We start from the raw sequence: 21,644 nt of genomic DNA, 5'->3' as shown, positions 1-21,644 counted from the left end.
GGGCATGGGGCGCATGCCTGTAGTCCCAGCTACTCAGGAGGCTGAGGCACAAGAATCACTTGAACCTGGGAGGCAGAGGGTACAGTGAGCCGAGATGGCATCACTGTGCTCTAGCCTGGGCAACAGACCAAGACCCTGTTTCCAAAAAAAAAAAAAAAGTTTTTTCTGTTGACTGTATCCACCGCCCCCTTAACAAACAATAGATCATATGAGAGCTGCTGAATATTGGAAAATAGGTCAAGCAATCCTATATGATGGCTCATTTCAAAATTTCAGATGCTTTCTATAAGACCATGAAATTTTATCTCTTCTACAGACTCAAAGAAGACAGTTAAATTGAAGGAGAAATAGACCACAGTAATCATGGTTTTCAACTGTCTTCTATTATTTCAGAAGCTGAAAATAATCTACATTAATTTAGAAAATGAAAAGAAGTCTATTGGCTAGGCACAGCGGCTCATGCCTGTAACTCTGGCACTTTTGAGGGCTGAGGTAGGAAAACGGCTTGAGGCTAGTTTGAGACCAGCCTAGGCAACACAACAAGACTCTGTCTCCACAAAAAGTAACAACAAAAATAGCCAGGTGTGGTGACCAGTGCCTGTAGTCCCAGCTACTTGGGAGACTGAGTTAGGAGGTTCACTTGAGCCTGGGAGTTCAGGGCTGCAGTGAGCCATGATCCCCACTACACTCCAGCCTGCCTGACAGAGCAAGACCCCAAAGAAAGAAAAGAAATGGGCCGGTCACAGTGGCTCACGCCTATAATCCCAGCACTTTGGGAGGCCGAGGTTGGCGGATCACAAGCTCAGGAGTTCAAGACCAGCCATTGCCAAAATGGTGAAACCCCATCTCTACTAAAAATACAAAAATTAGCCAGGTGTGGTGGTGGGCGCCTGTAGTCCCAGCTACTCGGGAGGCTGAGGCAGGAGAATCGTTTGAACCCGGGAGGGAGTGGTTGCAGTTAGTCGAGATCATGCCACTACACTCCAGCCTGAGTGACAAGAGCAAGACTCTGTCTCAAAAAAAATAAAAAAGAAAGAAAAAAAAAGAAAAGAAAAGAAAGAAGGAAAAGAAATGGAAGGGAGGGAGGGAGGAAGGGAGGAGATAAGAAAACAAGCAAGCAAGAGGCCAGGTGCGGTGGCTCACGCCTGTAATCCCAGCACTCTGGAAGGCCAAGGTGGGCAGATCACCTAAGGTCAGGAGTTCAAGACCAGCCTGGCCAACATGGTGAAACCCCGTCTCTACTAAAAATACAAAAATTAGCCAGGCGTGGTGATGCACACCTATAATCCCAGCTACTCAGGAGGCTGAGACAGGAGAGTTGATTGAACCCGAGAGGCAAAGGTCGCAGTGAGCCGAGATCATGCCACTGTACTTCAGCCTGGGCAACAGCAAGACTCCGTCTCAAAAAAAAAAAAAAAAAATGCAAGCAGAAAGGAAGTAAAAGAAAAGAGAAGAAAAGAAGAAAGGAAAAGTAAATGAGCTTCTTGGAAAGAAATACACAGAAAAAAGGCCCTGGAATTTAAATAAGGCCTTGGAAGATCCATGTGGCTTCATTTGTAAAACTGGTGAGCTACTCAAGAAGTAATGAAGAAAGAGCACTTTAAATCACCATCAGGCCAGGCGTGGTGGCTCATGCCTGTAATCCCAGCACTGTGGGAGGCAGAGGTGGGCGGATCACTTGAGGCCAGTAGTTCAAGACCAGACTGCCCAATACGGTGAAACCCCAGCTCTACTAAAAAGAAAACACAAAAATTAGCCGAGTGCAGTAGTGCACGTCTGTGGCTTGAGCCTGGGAGGCAGAGGCTGCAGTGAGCCAAGACTCACTGCACTCCAGCCTGGGCAACAGAGCAAGACTGTCTGAAAAAAAAAGAAAAAAAAAATCACCATCAATTTCACAGGGTCTTGCAAAGAATGATTTTATAAGATAATTCTTTTTATACTGGTAAACAAGGATTTTGCAGCTAAAATATTCTACCAAATTAGTTTCCTGCCTTATTCCTTCTCTGAAAATTAATCACAATAAAGCTCCTCAATGAGTTACACTCAAAGGGTTTATTACTGTACTTTTAAGTTCAGCATTCTCTTTGGCTTGATAGAAGTCTACGTCCATGGTAACCAATGCATCCGCAGCAAGAGGAAACTTCTGTTTATAGCAGGATAGCATAGTGGGTGAGTGGGAATTCCAGCATATAAATTCCAGCCTCACAATGTATTTGTTGTGTGACCCCAAGTTAATTACCTAACACCACTAAAACTCGGTTTCTGTATTTGTAAAACAAGGATAACATTCTATTTTATAGTTTTGTTTTTTTTGTGAAGATTAAAAAGAGATGATCTACACAAAGTACTTAGTACAATGCCTTGCACATGGCCGGTGTTCAATGTTAGCCATTATATTAATATTTTTACTGAAGTGGAAATAAATAGTAGGCAAAACAAAAGGAAAGTAACAATGTTGAATATGAGTCACATTTATGTAAATGTAGCTGAAAGTAATAGCTACTAAATATTAATAGTTCCATCTGCAAGGCTAAATTTGAATATTAAAGTTGATGATATAAAGTATAGGCTATATACAACTTTTTTTTTGAGACAGAGTCTCACTTTTTATTTTATTTTATTTTACTTTATTTTATTTGAGACGGAGTCTCGCTCTGTTGCCCAGGCTGGAGTGCAGTGGTGCAATCTTAGGTCACTGCAACCTCTGCCCCAGGGTTCAAGTGATTCTCCTTCCCCAGTCTCCCGAGTAGCTGGGATTACAGGTGCCCACCACTACACCTGGCCCTTTTATTATATTATTATTTTTTTTTTTGTAGAGGCAGGGTCTCACTATGTTGCCCAGGCTGGTCTCAAACTCCTGGCCTCAAGTGATGCTCCTGGCTCAGCCTCCCAAAGTGCTGGGATTACATGTATGAGCCACTTTGCCTGGCAAGGGTCTCCTTTATGTTAAGGATGGCTTCCTCCTTTTACTTCCTCTCTGGGCTTTCCTTTCTATCTCCTTCTACACAAACAACTTTAACCATTTTTATATATAGGCCCCAAAACTATGCAAATATACATACATATTTTTTTCTCTTTTTAAAAACTCTTTTCTTTTTACCATACAAAGTCTATAACTCAAATGCAAATATACTAAGTACATCACAGAATCGTATCTACTAAACAGCTTGGTTTCAGGCCAGGCGCAGTGGCTCACATTTGTAATCCCAGCACTTTGGGAGGCCAAGGTGGGTGGATCACCTGAGGTCAGGAGTTTGAGACCAGACTGGCCAACATGGAAAAACCCCGTCTCTACTAAAAAATACCAAAGGCCGGGTATGGTGGCTCACGCCTGTAATCCTAGCACTTTGGGAGGCTGAGGAGGGCAGATCACTTGAGGTCATGGGTTCGAGACCAGCCTGGCCAACACGGCAAAACCCCGTCTCTACTAAAAATACAAAAATTAGCTGGGCGTGGTGGCATGTGCCTGTAATCCTAGCTACTTGGGAGGCTGAGGCAGGAAAATCACTTGAACCCAGGAGGCAGAGGTTGCAGTGAGTCGAGATTGTGCCACTGTACTCCAGCCTGGGCAACGGAGTGAGACACCATCTCAAAAAAAAAAAAAAAAAAATTAGCCAGGCGTGGTGGCGGGCACCTGTAATCCCAGCTACTCAGGAGGCTAAGGCAGGAGAATCACTTGAACCCGGGAGGCGGAGGTTGCAGTTAGCCGAGATCGCACCGCTGCACTCCAGCCTCAGCGACAGAGCGAGACTCCATCTTAAAAAACAACACGAAAAAACAAAACAAACAAAAATCAGCTTGGTTTCAAAGTACACTGAAGCACAAGATTCAAGACAGAAATCATATTAACAAATGGGAAAGTCCCACTAAAAATCAGGAACCAAAAAGAAAACCAAAATTACATTTTCAGGCCTATAGTCCCAGCTACTCAGGAAGCTGAGGCAGGAGGATCACCTGAGCCCAGGAGTTTAAATGTAACCTGGGCAACATAGCAAGACCCTGACTCTAATTACAAAAAAAATTAAACTTCAGTTTTACAGAAGCACCTATGGTAACTTAATTGCTTGATGTCCAACGCCTGGTCTTCAAGTCCCTGTCAAATTAGGAACTTCCACAATTCTACTCTAAGTGACCCAGGAGTAATACTGGGGAGGTAGATGTAGGTTTGATTGTAATCAATTTTATTAACCCTATCAATGAGAATGGTTATGTGAACAGAAAGGGGACGTTCTATGTGAAAGATAAGAACGGGGCTCAAGAGCCAGAAGCTGGCAATCTACCCAGGAAGAGACAATGTGGCAGGCATAAGTGTGGTATCTGCCAGGGAGATACCAAGTACGGGGTGAGATTAATTGGCAAGGATTCACCCTGCCTGAATGAAATATTCACCGAAACCATCCACATAGTTTAGCTCTGATTAAGTTCACTTAGATGCTTTATTTATTTATTTATTTATTTAGGTAGATATAGGGTGGCTCACTATGTTGCCCAGGCTGGTCTTGAACTCCTGGCCTCAAGCAATCCTTCTGTCTTGGACTCCCAAAATGCCAGAAGGCGTGAGACACCACACCCAGCCACTTTGATGCTTTCTGGTTAGTTTTTCAAATATTCCGATATTAAGAGTCAGAAGCTACAGACAGCGAATATAAGCACTCTGCCGGGCGCAGTGGCTCATGCCTGTAATCCCAGCACTTTGGGAGGCTGAGGCAGGCGGATCACGAGGTCAGGAGATCGAGACCATCCTGGCTAACAAGGTGAAACCGTCTCTACTAAAAAACAGAAAATTAGCCGGGCGTGGTAGTGGGCGCCTGTAGTCCCAGCTACTCAGGAGGCTGAGGCAGGAGAATGGCGTGAACCTGGGAGGCAGAGCTTGCAGTCAGCCAAGATCGCGCCACTGCACTCCAGCCTAGGCGACAGAGCGAGACTCCGTCTCAAAAAAAAAAAAAAAAAAAGAGAGAATATAAGCACTCACGTCCCTGGAAAGGATACCCCCAACAGAAAAGAGTGGCATTCTTGCTTATACAAAAGACAACATAGTATAGTAGTTATGTGCCCAATATCTGAAGGCATAATGGTTTCAAATCCTGATTACTGTTAACTTTTCTGTGCTTCAGTTTCCTCATTAAATGAGAATAATGCTTACTTTAAGTGTTGTTACATGGATTGAGCTAATTCAAGCACAGTATTTAGAGCAGTGCCTGGCACACAGTGCTCAATAAAACTATTATAACTTTTCATAATAATTATGAAATATCTCTCGTGATTTTGGCCAGGCATGATGGCTCATGCTTACAATCTCAGCACATTAGGAGGCCAAAGCAAAAGGATTGCTTAAAGCCAGGAGTTTGAGACCAGCCTGGGTAGTAAAGCAAGTCCCCCATCTCTACACAAAATTAAACAACAAAAAAAAAATCAGCCAGGCCTGGTGGCGTGCACCTGTAGTCCCAGCTACTCAGGAGGCTGAAGCAGGGGGATCACTTGAGCTCAGCAGTTTGAGGCTGCAGCGAGCTATGATCATGCCATTGCACCCCAGCCTTGGTGACACAGCAAGACTGTCTTAAAAAACAAACAAACAAAAAAACACAAACACCCTGATTCTCATTTGTGTGGGTCAAAATCCAAGTATGATCAAGTCCAAAAAATTATGATTTTAAATTAAATTATCAAAAAGGAAGAAAAAGCCACAATGTAAGGCTTCAGTGGTGAGGCAGGAATATAATGTGTGTGTGTATGTATGGAGGGCAGGGGATGGCTTTCAAGACAGAACACATATTGTGAAGAGCTTTGTATACTATACCAAGAAGTTTGAAATTTATTTTGCTATGCTGCCTAGGTTGGTCTTGAACTCCTGACCTCAACTGATGCTCCTACTTCAGCCTCCCAGGTAGCTGGGACTACAGACACACCACCACACCTGGCTTGAGTTTTATAAGTATTGAAAGGCCATCGAAAGTAATTTCAATTTCCAAAACACTGTCAAAATAAATTTAAACAAACTTTACATCTAAGTTACAGAACTTACAGAAAGCAACAAGAAGAGAGAATTCTGGAAAAACATAGGAATCAGTGATTTAAATACTTTAGTAGCAATACAACCTAAATTGAAACCCAAACCAAAATGTCAGTGAATCTAAATGAATACAAATGGGCTTCTTCTACTCTTACTATTTAAAAAAACACAGTACATTTTGTTTCCTGGCTCCATAATCCACTTCCTCTAATTGTTAGAGGCACTGGATCCTTCTGTTTCAAGTTTCTACCTATCACAGCAAAGAAAAAGAGCAGTCCTGGCCGGGTGAGGTGGCTCATGCCTGTAATCCCAGCACTTTGGGAGGTCAACGCAGGCAGATCATCTGAGGTCAGGAGTTTGAGACCAGCCTGGCTAACATGGTGAAACCTCGTTTCTCCTAAAAACACAAAAAATTAGCCAGGCGTGGTGGCGCATGCCTGTAATCCCAGCTACTCAGGAGGCTGAGGCAGGAGAATCACTTGAACCCAGGAGGCAGAGGTTGCGGTGAGCCGAGATCACACCATTGCACTCCAGCTTGGGCAACAAGAGTAATACTCTGTCTCAAAAAAAAAAAAAAAAGGGAAAAGAAAAGAGCAGTCCTTGTCATCTGCCCGTCTGTCAACCTACAGATCTGGAAACAAAATATAGTAATGGAATAAAAAGTTCAGCACTCTTGGAGATAAGCAACATTATAATATTATACATGCTAATATATACACAATGTGGAGTACAAACATAGCTCAAAAACAGATGTCCAGAGTGTTGCAGATAAAGGAACCAAATTGGGGCGGGGGCGGGGGAAAGCCTGAATTCAGGGAAAAAAAAAGGCAGCTGATATCAAAGAGCAAACATCCTCTTTTTCCTTTTTGTTATTTTAATCTACAGGAGCCTTGACCTCCCAGGCTCAAGCGATCCTCCACCTCAGCCTTCTGAGTAGCTGGGACCACAGGCACTGGGCACCAGGTCCAGCTAGTTTTTTAAAAAATTTTTGTAGAGACAGTCTTGGCATGTTGCCCAGGCTGGTCTCAAACTCCTGGGCTCAAGCGATCCTCCTGCCTCAGACTCTCAAAGTGCTGGAATTACAGGCATGAACCACCGCCCGGCCCTAATCTACTTTCATCTGGTGGAACCAGTAAACTTTGCTAGAATTGTGTTATGATAATGAACATCATCATAGAGATCACAGAATTTTCAAGCCCATAAGCTTTAGTTCAATCTTCATTTTAAAAATGAGCTGATTAGGCCCAAAGCAGTATCTTCCAAAGTGCTGAGCAAGAATATGATTTTAACTGTTACATATGAAAGAGTTATATATTTAATAGTTATGTATTTATTATAATGGATGCTAAAAAAGCTATAAAATACATAAAAACCATGATTTCACAGATTATCACTTTGGAAGTGGGCAATGTTTTTTTAAAAAACCCATTAAACATGAAGTAAAATAACAACAGTACTCTAAATGGCAAAAATTATGATGGTGGTATGACTCATAGGTGAAGACTCCACAGCTGTCCCATGAGTACAGGCCTGTTTTTGTTTACTTTCTTTCTGGTTCTAGGTTGTGTTCTAAATGATTAGAAAAGATGTGACCTTAGACCGGGCGCGGTGGCTCACGCCTGTAATCCCAACACTTTGGGAGGCTGAGGCGAGCGGATCACCTGAGGTCGGGAGCTCGAGACCAGCCTCACTAACATGGAGAAACCCCGTCCGTCTCTACTAAAAATATAAAATTAGCCAGGTATGGTGGCGCCTGCCTGTAATCCCAGCTACTCGGGAGGCTGAGGCAGGAGAATCGCTTGAACCCGGGAGGTGGAGATTGAGGTGACCCTAGATCAAGATATTGTACTCCAGCCTGGGCAACAAGAGTGAAACTCTGTCAAAAAAAAAAAAAAAGATGTGACCTTTAGTTAAGTGGGCTTGTGTGTATTGTACCTAAGTTCATTCAGTGTACAAGAAACAAATATCAAGATACATATAGGAATTCCACTGTTTATTTGGCACAGTAAGACATCCTTATGCTGGAACTATGATAACACTAACTTTCTAGTGCATAAACACATACTACAAGCACCTAAAGTAAAACCTAGCCTGAGACAAATATTCAAGCTGCAGGCTAAGTGATATGATCACTTAAATTACTTTCACATGACCTGTCAAAGGAGTATGGCAATGTAAGGTGTTTCTCTTATTTGCTAATATTTCTTTCTTTTCCTGAGATCACTCAGATCACTGGATCACTGAGCTGAGACCACCAAGTAATTTATAAAGCAAAGAGAAGAAATTTAAGCCAGCTGTAGAAATTTGCGTTAAGTAACAAGGAGCTGAATGTTAATCACCAAAACAATGGGAAAAATGTCTCCAGGGCATATCAGAGATCTTCATGGCAGCCCCTCCCATCACAAGACCTGAGGCCTAGGAAGAAAAAATGGTTTCGTGGGCAGCCTCAGAACTTGGGGCCCTGAGTCCCAGCTGCTCCAGCTCCTGGCTAAAAGGGGTCAAGGTACAGCTTGGGCTGTTGCTTCAGAGGGTGCAAGCCCCAAACCTTGGTAGCTTCCACGTGGTAGCTGGGCCTGCAGGTGCACAGAAGTCAAGAATTGAGGTTTGGGAACCTCTGTCTAGATTTCAGAGGATGTACGGAAATGCCTGGATGTCCAGGCCAAAGTCTGCTGCAGTGGAAGAGACCTCATGGAGAACCTCTGCTAGGGCACTGCAGAAAGGAAACGTGGGATTGGACACCGCCCACCCCCCAGAATCCCCACTGGGGCACTGCCTAGTGGAGCTGTGAGAAGAGGGCCACCATTCTCCAGACTCCAGAATGGCAGGTCTACAAACAGCTTGCACTATGAACCTGGAAAAGCCTCAGGCACTCAATGCCAGCCCAGCAGAGCAGCCTCTGGGCCTGAACCCTGCAAAGCCACAGGGTCAGAACTGCTCAAGGCCTTGGGAGCCCACCCTTGGCATCAGCGTGCCCTAGATGTGAGACATGGAGTCTAAGGAGATTAAAATAAGTTTTAAGACGTAATGGCTGTCCCACTGGATTTTGGACTTGCATAGGGCCGGTAGCCCCTTTGTTTTGGCCAATTTCTCCCATTTGGAATGGGAGCATTTACCAATGCCTATTCCCCCATAGCATCTTTAGAAGTAACTAACTTGCTTTTGATTTTACAGGCTCCTAGGCAAAAGGGACTTGCCTTGTCTCAGATGAGACTTTGGACTTGGACTTTTGGGTTAATACTGGAATGAGTTAAGATTTTGGAGGCCTGTTGGGAAGGCATGATTGTGTTTTGAACTGTGAGGACATGAGATTTGAAAGGGGCCAGGGAATCTGGGCGTGGTGGCTCATGCCTGTAATCCCAGCACCTTGGGAAGATGAGGTGGGTGGATCATGAGGTCAGGCGTTTGAGACCAGCCTGGCCAATAGAGTGAAACCCCGTCTCTACTAAAAAATGCAAAAATTAGCCAGGCGCGGTGGCTCACGCCTGTAATCCCAGCACTTTGGGAGGCGGAGGCCGGTGGATAACCTGAGGTCAGGAGTTTGAGACCAGCCTGGCCAACATGGCAAAACCCCATCTCTACTAAAAATACAAAAATTAGCCAGGCCTGGTGGCAGGTGCCTGTAATCCCAGCTACTTGGGACGTTGAGGCAGAAGAATTGCTTGACCCTGGGAGGCGGAGGTCGCAGTGAGCCAAGATCGCGCCACTGCACTCCAGCCTGAGCGACAGAGCAAGACCCCATCTCAAAAAAAAAAAAAAAAAAAAAATTAGCCAGGTTTGGTGGCACACATTTGTAGTCTCAGCTACTCAGGAGTGTGAGGGAGGAGAATCGCTTGAAGTGTTGGAGGTTGTAGTAAGCCAAGATCGCGCCACTGCACTCCAGCCTGGGTGACAGAGTGTGAGACTCCATCTCAAAAAAAAAAAAAAAGAAAGAAAGAAAGAAAGGGGCCAGGGGCAGAATGATACAGTTTGGCTATTCATAATCTCATCTCGAATCTGGTGAGAGGTGATTGGATTATGGGGGTGGTTTCCCCCATGCTGTTCTCATGATACTGGTTTTATAAGGGGCTTTTTCCCCTTCACTGTCTCTCTCCTGCCATCCTGTGAAGAAGGTGCTTGGCTTCTCCTTTGCTTTCCACCATGATTATAAGTTTCCTGAGGCCTCCCCAGCCATGCAGAACTGAGAGTCAATTAAACTTCCTTCCTTTATAAATTACCCAGTCTCGAGTATTTCTTTTGCTTTTTGTTTTTTTTTGAGTTGGAGCCTGACTCTGTCTCCCAGGCTGAAGCTCAGTGGCACGATCTCGGTTCACTGCAACCTCTGTTTCCCAGGTTCAAGTGATTCTCCTGCCTCAGCCTCCGGAGTAGCTGGGATTACAAGCATATACCACCACGCCTGGCTAATTTTTGTATTTTTAGTAGAGATGGGATTTCATCATGTTGGCCAGGCTGGTCTCGAACTCCTGATCTCATATGATCCTCTCTCCTCGACCTCCCAAAGTGCTGGGATTACAGGCGTTAGCCACCAAGCCCGGCCTTGGGTACTTCTTTATAGCAGTGTGAGAACGCACTAATACAGACCCCATTCCAGGAGATGACAAATAGCAAAAGGCAAAATGATACTCCCTTCTTGACTTTTTTTTCCTCTCCCACTTTTATGTCTTTACGTTTCCTCCTACCATCAACTGCCTTTCCTAACATTGTGGTGACTGATTAAAGAAGAAAAAAAGGACGAGATGAAACTACACTTTACAGTACTTTTTCCCCCCACCACTCCAATCCCGAATTGTGAAATTCATTCTTTTCCTGATCCTCTAATTTGTGCAGTAATGCCGCGAGGTAAGGCTGAACCTTTCTAGAGAGCAAGGGCTATCCAATACCAGGAACCTCAGAGTCCTTCCTCAAGCCATTATCTCAGAGCTATCTGATCACTGTGGTCACCATACAGGCAGTCTATTAATGTCAACTACAGCAACACAGTAAGGGTGAGGGGCGGAAAGTGATCTCTGTTTAATTTCGAGGAAGGGTCCAGAGAATTACCATCCAGCTACCCTTCCTCCACTGGTCCCTCGATGTTCTCCCGGCACCTCCCGTCCTCTCTCCGGGCCCATCTGCCGAGTAAGGGCCAGAGAGCCCCCTCCTCCGCTTAAGCCCGACCCCACCAACTTTTCAACCAATACGATACACTCTTTCTTCTCAGGACATAGTCTCAGACTTCATCCCGGCCAGCTCCCTCCGTCCCACTCCTGGAGACTCACCAAGCGGGCGAGGCCACTCCTCTCCGGCGGCAACTCGGACACCCCAACACCGGACCTGGCGCTGCACCCTAGTCGCGCCTGCGCGCGCCGAGCCCGCGCGCCTGCTCACTTCCCGTTCGCCGCGGACACAGACACACCCCTGCAGCTGGAGCCAATCACGGTGCTGGGGGTTTAAATGTCCCTGCCACGCAGACGGAGAGTCTGGGAATTCACTAGTTAACCGGATAGATTTCAGTCCTGCCCGAAGCTGGGAGGTGTTCATGCAATAAACATTTACTGAGGGCAAACCGTATGCCAGGCACTGTGCTGGATGAACGCTGAAGAAAAGAAAGCGAATACAGTGCTTTCCCTGCTCTTCATCGCCTTTCAATATGTCTAGACTAAGATATAGATATGTAAACAAATTATAGTGGATAGAATACAGTGCATAGCACATAGAAAATTTGAGGCGCCTTTGGCTGATAATGAACAAAGCGTTTTATTCTTAGGGGTGTCTGGAAGGGTTCCCGGAGGAAGTGACTTGAGTCATGAAGGATAAGTAGGAGTTCCCCCGGAAATCCGGCAGAGAAAGAGCTAGAGTTTTCCAGGCTCTGGGGAACAGCTTATGTCGAGAACAGCATAACGCCTTCTGGAAATTTCTAGTAGTTCATCCTTGTTAGAGGCTTAGTGCTAATCGTACATCCCCGAGTGTAGAGGAAAGAAAGCTTTAGAAGGCCAACAATCGCTAGATCTTGGAAGGCCTTGGAATTTTAGACCACTTTGTACTAGGGGCACTGAAAGCTATTGAAGAGTTTTAAGCAGATGGAGGATTATTGTAAACTATTTGCTGCAGGAACCCCTCCATGCACCTCTAAGAATAAAATAAACTGCTGGAAATCAAGAAAAGAAAGTGCTTCACCAGGCACAGTGGCTCACGCCTGTAATCAATCCCAGCACTTTGGGAGGCTGAAGCGGGCAGATCACGAGGTCAGGAGTTCCAGACCAGCCTGGCCAACATAGAGAAACCCCATCTCTACTAAAAATACAAAAAATTAGCCGGGCATGGTGGCAGGCGCCTGTAATCCCAGCTAGTCGGGAGGCTGAGGCAGGAGAATCGCTTGAACCTGGGAGGCGGAGGTTGCAGTGGGCCAAGATCATGCCATTGCACTCCAGGCTGGGCAACGAGAGTGAAATTCCGTCCCCCCTACAAAAAAAAAAAAAAAAGAAAGAAAAAATAGCTGGGTGTGGTGGCGGGTGTCTGTAATCCCAGCTACATTACTATCATAATGTCTATCACTGGCGACAGTGCCAGACTCCATCTCAAAAAAAAAAAAAAAAAGTGCTTCAAGGAGTAAGTAGTCTATTCCTAAGGGATCAAGGAAGATGAAGCCTGAGAAATGTTTTTTTTAATTTCATAACACAGAGGTCACTGATTATCTCAGTGAAAGCTGTTTGTTGGAATGCTGGGGTTGAAAAAAACAACTTAGTAGTTTGGAGGTGGGGGAGATGTAGAGATGGGGACAAGTTGTAGAATGCTTTTGGAAAGTTTGGCCTTGACAGGGAGGAAGGAGGGAGAATGATGAAGGATCAAGATTTTTTGTTTTTGTTTTTTTGATTTTTGTTAGAATTAAGACAGGAGAAACTTGAGCATGGTAGGGAAGATTCAACTGAGAAAAAAATGGTTGAATAAAGGAAGAGAAGGGATAGTCAGTAGGCAAAGATCTTGAAAGGGTAAGAATAGAGGCAGTTTAGAGGCAGTTCGAAACACTGGTAAGAATAATGGTTTTGGAAGAGGGCAGGGAGGGAGAAAGAGAGAGAGAGGAGATATTTCCCCAATTATGAGAGGAAGTATGTTTCTGTATGTTTAGTAACAGGAAGTTAAAGTTCTCATTTGCTGACTTGTTTTCTCTGTGAAGTTGAAGATGGGGTCATCTTCTGATAGAAAAGGAGGTGGTATTGGGAGTTTAAAGGAAAGCTGAGAAGATTTGGAATATTGTAGAAAGTAATACAACAAGTTGACAGAAGAATGTTGTAGGACTGGTAAGCAATATTGAGGGCCTTTTTAATATGGGCAAAAATGAACTCACCATTTTCTGCCCTCCTGTGTAAATTTCTCAAGCAGCAGTCACTTGTTGAGGGCAGAGGTGGAGAAAATGTATGGTTGAGTTCATTAGTTCATTTAGGGTTGTGATGGTCATTGATATAATTCCGTGGTTCTCAACCAGGGACGATTTTGTCCTCCGGGGGATATTTGGCAATGTCTGGAGATGCTTTATTGTGATGACAGGGAAACGGGGGTGGGTACTACTAGCATCGTGTCCAACAGTGCTGCTAAACATACATACACACACACGCACACACATATATGTATATATATATAGAGAGAGAGAGAGAGAGAGAGAAGGTCTTGCTCTGTTGCTCAGGCTGGAGTGCAATGGTGTGATGTCAGCTCACTGCAACCTCTACCTTTGCAGCTCAAATCCTCCCACCTCAGCCTCCTGAGTAGCTGGGACTACAGGTGTGCACCACCACTGCCGGCTAATTTCTGCATTTTTTGTAGAGACACGGTTTCACCATGTCACCCAGGCTGGTCTCAAACTCCTGGACTCAAGCGATCTGCCTCCCTTGACCTCCCAAAGTTATAGGATTACATGTGTGAGCCACTGCTCCCAGTCTGCTGCTAAACATCTTATAATGCACAGGATACCCCTGACAAAAAAGTATATGTTCCAAAATGTCAGTAATCCCAAAGTTGAGAAACCATAATCTAGCGTTACCTTGGCACTCACCAATATCTGACTGTGGTCTTCTACAGGCTTTTCCCTGAATGATGGCCCAGAGTTTATAGGGTAAAATAGTTCCTCCATTGCATGCCTTTGAAGGAGAATAGAATGAGCAGCGTACCACAACCCTTGAGTGTTTCAAGGACTTGTGATGTCACAAACACGGAATTGGAAGTTTCCTAAACCTCTAGAACAAATCTGGATTTACATAGAAGAGGTTAATATAGCCGCTTCCTTTCTTTTTTCTCTCTCTTTTTTTTTTTTTTTTTTTTTTTGAGACGCAGTCTCGCTCTGTCGCTAGGCTGGAGTGCAGGGGCGAGGTCTCGGCTCACTGCAACCTCCGACTCCCGGGTTCAAGCGATTCTCCTTCCTCAGCCTTCCGAGTAGCTGGGACTACAGGCACGCACCACCACGCCCAGCTAATTTTTGTGTTTTTAGTAGAGAAGGGGTTTCACCATGTTGGCCAGGATGGTCTCGATCTCTGGACCTCATGATCTGCCCACCTCGTCCTCCCAAAGTGCTGGGATTACAGGCGTGAGCCACTGTGCCCCACCGCTGCTTACTTTTATTTGAGACGTTGAAGGTCTTGTTAAACAGAGATGTTATAATCTCAATAATATAGGAGGGACACTCCACATAATTATCAACCTGAATGTCATTTCATTTATCTGATAGTCTTAGTCACTAAAATTAGGTTTCTGAGGGAATGGGTATGGGCTAAGTTTAATAATAAATATAGGCGGCCGGGCGCGGTGGCTCACACCTGTAATACCAGCACTTAGGGAAGCCGAGGTGGGCGGATCATTTGAAGTCAGGAGTTTGAGACCTGCCTGGCCAATATGGCGAAACCCCATCTCTACTAAAAATACAAAAATTAGTTGGGCGTGGTAGTGCACGTCTGTAATTCCAGCTACTTGGGAGGCTGAGGCAGGATTATCGCTTGAACCCGGAAGGTGGAGGTTGCAGTGAACCAAGAGAGCGGTTCTGCACTACAGCCTGAACGACAGAGCAAGACTCCATCTCAAAATAACTAACTAACTAACTAACTAAATAAATAAATAATAAATGTAGGCTGGGCGCGGTGGCTGACACCTGCAATCCCAGAACTTTGGAAGGCCAAGGCAGGCAGATCACTTGAGCCGAGGAGTTTGAGACCAGCCTGGGCAACATGGTGAAACCCCGTCTCTACTTAAAAAATATTATAAATACCTTAGGCATGAGTAAGAATAAAGTCAGTATTATGGAATGTCTGCTCTGTGATAGGCAGCATTCATAGATAAACACTTGACCTATGTTATTTAATCCTAGCAACACCCTGTGAGATAACATTATCCTAATTTTAACTCAAGAACCTGAGGTTCCAAGAAGAATTGTAATTTACCCAAAGTCACAAATTATTCGTAGCTAGTCCAAGATCTGAAACTCAGGTCTGGCTGTTCTAAAGCTCTTGCACCTTCCATTCAACTTCAGAAAGTTTTACAAGGAAGGAGTGTTTTCAAAATGTAGCCCGAACAGTTGCCACTGACTAAAGGAAATGGCGGGACACCAAGGAAGAGAGTAGGAGCTACAGGGAGGCCGGGAAAGAACAAGGAGAAACAAGGAGAATGAAAAAGGGACCAGGGAGGCTGTTCATAGCGTCCAACGCTGCGTACTGACTCTCCCGCAAGCGGGCCTGCCTTTGTTCTTCCTCCATTCTTTTTGAGAAAAACCTCTTCCTGTGTGTCCGTTGTTCACTCTCTTGTGTTCAAATAAAGCTAGATTATTGAGAACTGCGGACGGCAAAGGAAAAAAAAGCGAGCGTGACGGCTTCGGTGTGCGCCTGCGCGTTGGCGGCGGCTGTGGCGGGGCCCGGCGGGGAGCGGGTCCGGAGCAGGCTCCCGGACCCAAAACTGAAGGGGGCGTCTGAGGCGTCAGGGAGCTCCCTCGCCTGGCTCTCGGCGGCCTGATGGAGTAAGAGGGGTTGGCTGTGAATGTGAGTATCGACGGGCCGGCCTGCGTTGAGCGTATCGGAGCCCAAGGGTCCTGGTCGTCTGCCCCTTAGGGAGGTTGTGGGGCTGCAAGACACCACCGGGTTTCTACTCCTGCAGGCTGCGGCTCAGGGGCAACCTGGTGGTCCACTCTCCCAGAGCCGGCGCGGGTTTATGGGCAGGCGGTGCTGCTGGCTTCGGGGTACGGATTTTCGCGGGGGCGTTCCAGCTCTGCTCCCAGCCCCAGAAGGAAACGTGGCTCCAAAGCCTTGACCTTTAGGGGAAGCCACTGACCTCCTTCGTCCCCAGTTGGGCAGGGAGTCCAAAGACCCTGGTCCTTAAAGCCCGTAGGTCTCAGGCCAGGGACACATTTCAACCTCTCGCGACTGACAACCTCCGTTCTTTTTCCTCCTTTCGTTTCTCTCCTTGTGGGATGCGTCTTGATAATAACAACTAATAACAAATAGTAACAACAGCTTACTGTGTCCGTTTAATATTTAGTCCGAATCTCGGTGTATAATTGTGGAGAGGAAATGCTTTACATCCTCTTCCCCTTTCAATTTGTTGTGTAATCATCTTTGAGAGTAAGATTAAGGCATCTTATTGAGAAGTTTGAGATATCCGTGGCTTTTAGCAACTTGAGACTGTCATCCTAGGTAAGCGAAGTTCTCTTACCTAGCAAATAAGTGCTGTATCCACCATAATGGTTTATATCCAGTTTATTCAAAGCACAAATAACTTCTTTTTTTTTTTTTGAGACAAAGTTTCGCTCTTGTTGCCAGGCTGGGGTGCAGTGGCGCGATCTTAGCTCACTGCAACCTCCGCCTCCTGGATTCAAGCAATTCTCCTGCCTCAGCCTACCCAGTAGCTGGGATTACAGGCACCCACCACCATACCTGGCTAATTTTTTGTATTTTTATTTATTTTTATTATTATTATTTTTTTTAGGACGGAGTTTCGCTCTTTCGCCCAGGCTGGAGTGCAGTGGCGGGATCTTGGCTCACTGCAACCTCCGCCTTCCAGTTTCAAGAGATTCTCCTGCCTCAGCCTCCCGAGTAGCTGGGATTGCAGGCGTGCACCACCACCACGCCCGGCTAATTTTTGTATTTTTAGTAGAGACGAGGTCTCACCATGTTGGCCAGGCTAGTCTCCAACTCCTGACCTTAGGTGATCCACCCACCTTGGCCTCTGAAAGTGCTGGGATTACAGGCTTGAGCCACCACGCCCGGCCCACAGATAACTTTTGAGTGCTTATTAAGAGCTTAGTACTGTTGTAAATAGCATGGGAAATCTTAAAATTTGCTTTAAGCCCCGTTCTCAAGTTTGGTCGTGAATGAAATAATGAAAGACAATTTTCAGATGCAACTAGAATTTATTTAGTATCTACTACACATTTGCCAATACCGCGCCATGCCTAGAGTTAACTCTTGAGTCTAGAAGATAGTAGGAGCCCTTTAATTAGAAATACTAGATGGTTTTCGAGGAGAACTTTAAAATGGCCTGGAAGGGGCCAGGCGCGATGGCTCACGCCTGTAATCCCAGCACTCTGGGAGGCCGAGGCGGGCGGATCACCTGAGGTCAGGAGTTTGAGACCAGGCTGACCGACATGGAGAAACACCGTCTCTACTAGAAATACAAAATTAGCTGGGCATGATGGCACATGCCTGTAATTCCAGCTACTTGGGAGGCTGAGGCAGGAGAATCGCTTGAACCTGGGAGGCGGAGGTTGCAGTGAGCCAGGATTGTGCCATTGTACTCCAAAAACGAAACTCCATCTCAAAAAAAAAAAATTAAAAAATAATAAAAAATGGCCTGGCAGGAGGTAGAGGGTGTGAACGAATCTGATCAGGCTAGTTCAGAACCTATTGTGTGTGTGTGTGTGTGTGTGTGTTGTTTTTTTTTTTTTTTAGAGAGAGCCTTGCTTTGTCGCCCAGGCTGGAGTGCAGTGGCGCAATCCCAGCTCACTGCAACCTCCGCTTCTTGGGTTCAGGTGATTCTCCTGCCTCAGCCTCCCGAGTAGCTGGGATTACAGGTGCCCACCACCATGCCTGGCTAACGTTTTGTATTTTTAATAGAGACGGGGTTTCACCATGTTGGCTGGGCTGGTCTTGAACTCCTGACCTTAGGTGATCCACCCACCTCAGCCTCCCAAATTGCTGGGATTACAGGTGTGAGCCACAGTGCCCGGCCTCAATTGTTTTGATTAAAAGGAAGATATTTAAAAAGGAAAGACTATGAATAGTGATTATTGTACATCTAGATTAGTGCACGTGTAGTCTGAAGGCTGCTCTACAAGAGTTGAGAGGAATGGAAGATGCTAGACGACTTGGTTCTGGGACCAGGAATGGCTCAGTGAGAAGTCTATGTATTGTGTGTTTTGTAATTGGGAGTATCTTAGTGGAGAGTTTAGGATTAATTTCTGTACCCAATGAATAAGAGCACCTGGGCAGACAAGTTACATATGAATGCTCTACTTGGACCTCTAGCATGTGAAATCACTAGTGGAAACTCTACAGTCGAGTGTGTGTGTGTGTGTGCATGTTTGTGCATGTTTTAATCTGAAAGAAACTATCAAGAAGCTCCCAGGTCTTCATCAGTGAAGGATTGGTTAAATAAATGTATGAATTTGCTAGAAAGAATGAGCCAGCTCTATATGTGCTAATATTGAGTGACCTCCCATATAGTGAGAAAGAAAAGGTGCAAAAGAGGGTGTGCATTTTGCAACCACTGTGGTTTTATAAAAATATTATGTATTGCATATACAATTGTTCCTCCATATCCGTCCATGGGTTCTGCATCCATGGATTCTACCAACTTTGGATGGATAATATTTGGGGAAAAAAAATTCACAAATTTCTGAAAAGCAAAACTTGAATTTGCTACGTGCTGAGTACATACTACATTGCATCCACATAAATGAAGTTATGTGTAGGCATTGTATTAGGTCTTACATGTAATCTAGAGATGATTTAAAGTATACGGAAGGTATGTGTAGGTTACATGCATATACTGTGCCATTTCATATAAGGGTCTTTAACATTCTCAGATTTTGGTATTGAGGGGGATCCTGGAACCAATCCCCCATGGATATCGAGGGACAACCATATATGCATAGAATATCCTCTGTGGAGGATAGTCAAAATCATAGAGACAGAAAGTAGAATGGTGGTTGCTAGGGGTTGAGGGAGGGGGAAATGAGTTATTGTTTAATGGATATAAAGTTTCAGTTATGCAAGATGCAAGTAGTTATGGAGACGGATGGTAGTGTTGGTTGTACAACATTATGAATGTATTTAATACCACTAAACTACACTTAAATGGTTAAGATGGTAAATTTTATGTTTTGTATTTTCATGCAAAAAAATTGAAAAATATCTCTGGAAAACAAATAAGAAACTCACAAGAGTGGCTGACTGGAAGTGGCGGTGGCTAGGAAACAGGAGGGGGTAGTAATAGTTTTTCCTAAAAGCTTTTTTTTTTTTTTTTTTTTTTTTGAGACAGGGTCTTGCTCAGTCACCTAGGCTGAAGTACAGTGGCATGATCATGGCTCACTACACCCTCAAACTCCTTGGCCCCAGCAATCCTCTTCCCACCTCAGCCTTCTTAGTAGCTGGGACTACAGGTGCGTGCCACCATGCCCAGCTAATTAATAAATTTTTTGTGTGTGTGAAGAGGAGGTCTCACTGTGTCACCCAGAATGGTGTTGAACTCCTGGCCTCAAGTGATTCTGTTGCCTCAGCCTCCCAAAGTGCTAGGATTATAAGTGTGCTGCCACTGCATCCAGGCCATATTTTCCCTATAAGCTTTTTTATTTTATTTTATTTTATTTTTTTAAAGATGGAGTTTCACTCTTGTTGCCCAGGCTGGAGTGCGATGGCACGATCTCTGCTCACTGCAACCTCTGCCTCCCAGGTTCAAGCGATTCTTCTGCCTCAGCCTCCCGAGTAGCTGGGATTACAGGCACCTGCCACCATGCCTGGCTAATTTTTTGTATTTTTAGTAGAGATGGGGTTTCACTATGTTGGCCAGGCTGGTCTCAAATGCCTGACCTGGTGATCCCCCCACCTCAGCCTCCCAAAGTGCTGGGATTACAGGCGTGAGCCACTGTGCCTGGCCAAAAAAATTAATTTTTTAATTGGCAATAAAATATATGTATTTATTGTGTACAATATGGTGCCTTGACATATATATATATAACAAGTCCTCACTTAACATCAATAGGATCTTGGAAACTGTGACTCTAAGCAAAACAGCATAATAACAAAACTAATTTTGCCACAGGTTAATTGATATAAAAAAGAGTTAAGTTCCTATGGCATATTTCTGGTCACAAGAACATCACCAAACTTCTAAATGAAGACCCCAAACACTTCTAATACTAAACATTGAAATAAATGTGAGCTATACGTAGATGTAAAAAAGAGTAGCTTGGGCATGGTGGCTCATACCTGTAATCCTAGCACTTTGGGAGGCCAAGGTGGAGGACACTTGAAACTGGGAGTTCAAGATCAGCCTGGGCTTCAAAGCGAGACCCTGTCTCTACAAAAAATTTTAAAAATTGACCAAGTATAGTAGCGTATACCTGTAATCCCAGCTACTTGGGAGGCTGAGGTGGAAGGATCACTTGAGCCCAGGAGTTCAAAGCTGCAGTGAGCTATGATCATGCCCCTGCACTCTACCCCAGGTGATAGAACAAACCCCTGTCTCTGGAAGAAAAAAAAAAGAAGGGCTGGGCGCGGTGGCTCACGCCTGTAGTCCCAGCACTTTGGGAGGCTGAGGTGGGCGGATCACGAGGTCAAGGGATCTAGCCATCCTGGTCAACATAGTGAAACTCTATCTCTACTAAAAAATACAAAAGTTAGCTGGGTGTGGTGGTACATGCGCCTGTAGTCCCAGCTACTCGGGAGGCTGAGGCAGGAGAATCGATTGAACCCGGGAGGTGGAGGTTGCAGTGAGCTCAGATCATGCCACCACACTCCAGCCTGGCGACAGAGCGAGACTCCGTCTCAAAAAAAAAAAAAAAAGAAAGAGTAATAAAAACAGGATATTTGCCTAATTTTTGGCAAATCAATGGGTGACCACAGTCCCACTGGTGGTGGGCTAAATCAAGGAATAAATATTTCCAAAGTGAAAATTTTAAGGAGCACTGGCTACTACCATGTGGTTAAAAATCAACAAATATGACAGGTGGGTGCTTTCGTACCACATTGTTTATTGTTGTGCATACGTCACACATTTTTATTTTATAATAATTTTTATTTATCCACTCTTTTATTTTCCAACGTCTTTATTCCAGTTCAGTGTTCAGGTGGTCAGAGCCTATCCTAAGCAGCTAAGGTTACAAGGTAGAAACCAACCCTGGACAGGACGCCATTCCATCCCAGGGTGTACTCACACACACACACCCACACTCACTGAGACTGGGACTGTTTAGACACCCTGTTCACCTATCAGGCACTTACTTCGGGGTGTGGGAGGAAACTGGAGACCTGGAAGAAACCCATGAAGGAATAAGGAGAACATACGAAGTCTTCATGGACAGTGGCCTCAGCTGGAAGTAATTTATTTTTTCTCATTAATGTTGTAACAGCATGATATTGAATGAAACAGCATTTTTTGAGGACCTGCTGTACCTTGTGGAATAGCTAGA

General features: G+C 44.9%; 2 protein-coding genes across 19 annotated transcripts in view, besides 5 other annotated features; one reads left to right on the top strand and one right to left on the bottom strand.

Annotated features, from left to right (window-relative positions):
• SNAP23 (synaptosome associated protein 23) overlaps positions 1-15,850 on the bottom strand; it is a 41,930-nt gene extending 26,080 nt beyond the window's left edge. For 3 of the 8 annotated variants that reach the window (XM_006720725.4, NM_003825.4, NM_130798.3), the window contains exon 1: positions 11,266-11,345. The gene's annotated coding sequence lies outside the window, so the exon portion shown is untranslated. Of the gene's footprint in view, positions 1-11,265; positions 11,346-14,033; positions 14,138-15,408 lie in introns of those variants that run through there. The other 5 variants (XM_047433203.1, XM_017022694.2, XM_047433202.1 and 2 more) reach the window with 5 other exon arrangements.
• Positions 10,585-11,128: an enhancer, noted in NCBI's record as "H3K27ac hESC enhancer chr15:42788049-42788592 (GRCh37/hg19 assembly coordinates)". NCBI's record gives its function as "activates a minimal SCP1, AML or CMV promoter by ChIP-STARR-seq in primed H9 embryonic stem cells {active_cell/tissue: H9 hESC(primed)}" and the evidence as "EXISTENCE:reporter gene assay evidence [ECO:0000049][PMID:30033119]".
• Positions 11,129-11,672: an enhancer, noted in NCBI's record as "H3K27ac hESC enhancer chr15:42787505-42788048 (GRCh37/hg19 assembly coordinates)". NCBI's record gives its function as "activates a minimal SCP1, AML or CMV promoter by ChIP-STARR-seq in primed H9 embryonic stem cells {active_cell/tissue: H9 hESC(primed)}" and the evidence as "EXISTENCE:reporter gene assay evidence [ECO:0000049][PMID:30033119]".
• Positions 15,666-15,775: an enhancer, noted in NCBI's record as "active region_9303". NCBI's record gives its function as "activates an Ori minimal core promoter by ATAC-STARR-seq in GM12878 lymphoblastoid cells {active_cell/tissue: GM12878}" and the evidence as "EXISTENCE:reporter gene assay evidence [ECO:0000049][PMID:35858748]".
• The window catches only part of ZNF106 (zinc finger protein 106), a 78,319-nt gene continuing 72,512 nt past the window's right edge, over positions 15,838-21,644 (top strand). For all 11 annotated transcript variants that reach the window (NM_001381996.1, NM_001381997.1, NM_001366844.3 and 8 more), the window contains exon 1: positions 15,838-15,999. The gene's annotated coding sequence lies outside the window, so the exon portion shown is untranslated. The remainder of the gene's footprint in view (positions 16,000-21,644) is intronic.
• Positions 16,076-16,125: an enhancer, noted in NCBI's record as "active region_9302". NCBI's record gives its function as "activates an Ori minimal core promoter by ATAC-STARR-seq in GM12878 lymphoblastoid cells {active_cell/tissue: GM12878}" and the evidence as "EXISTENCE:reporter gene assay evidence [ECO:0000049][PMID:35858748]".
• Positions 16,176-16,365: an enhancer, noted in NCBI's record as "active region_9301". NCBI's record gives its function as "activates an Ori minimal core promoter by ATAC-STARR-seq in GM12878 lymphoblastoid cells {active_cell/tissue: GM12878}" and the evidence as "EXISTENCE:reporter gene assay evidence [ECO:0000049][PMID:35858748]".

Source organism: Homo sapiens, chromosome 15, assembly GCF_000001405.40.
Source record: "Homo sapiens chromosome 15, GRCh38.p14 Primary Assembly".
Taxonomy (NCBI): Eukaryota; Metazoa; Chordata; class Mammalia; order Primates; family Hominidae; genus Homo; species Homo sapiens.
Note: the sequence above shows the minus strand (reverse complement) of the source record. Positions and strands in the feature narration are given on the sequence as shown.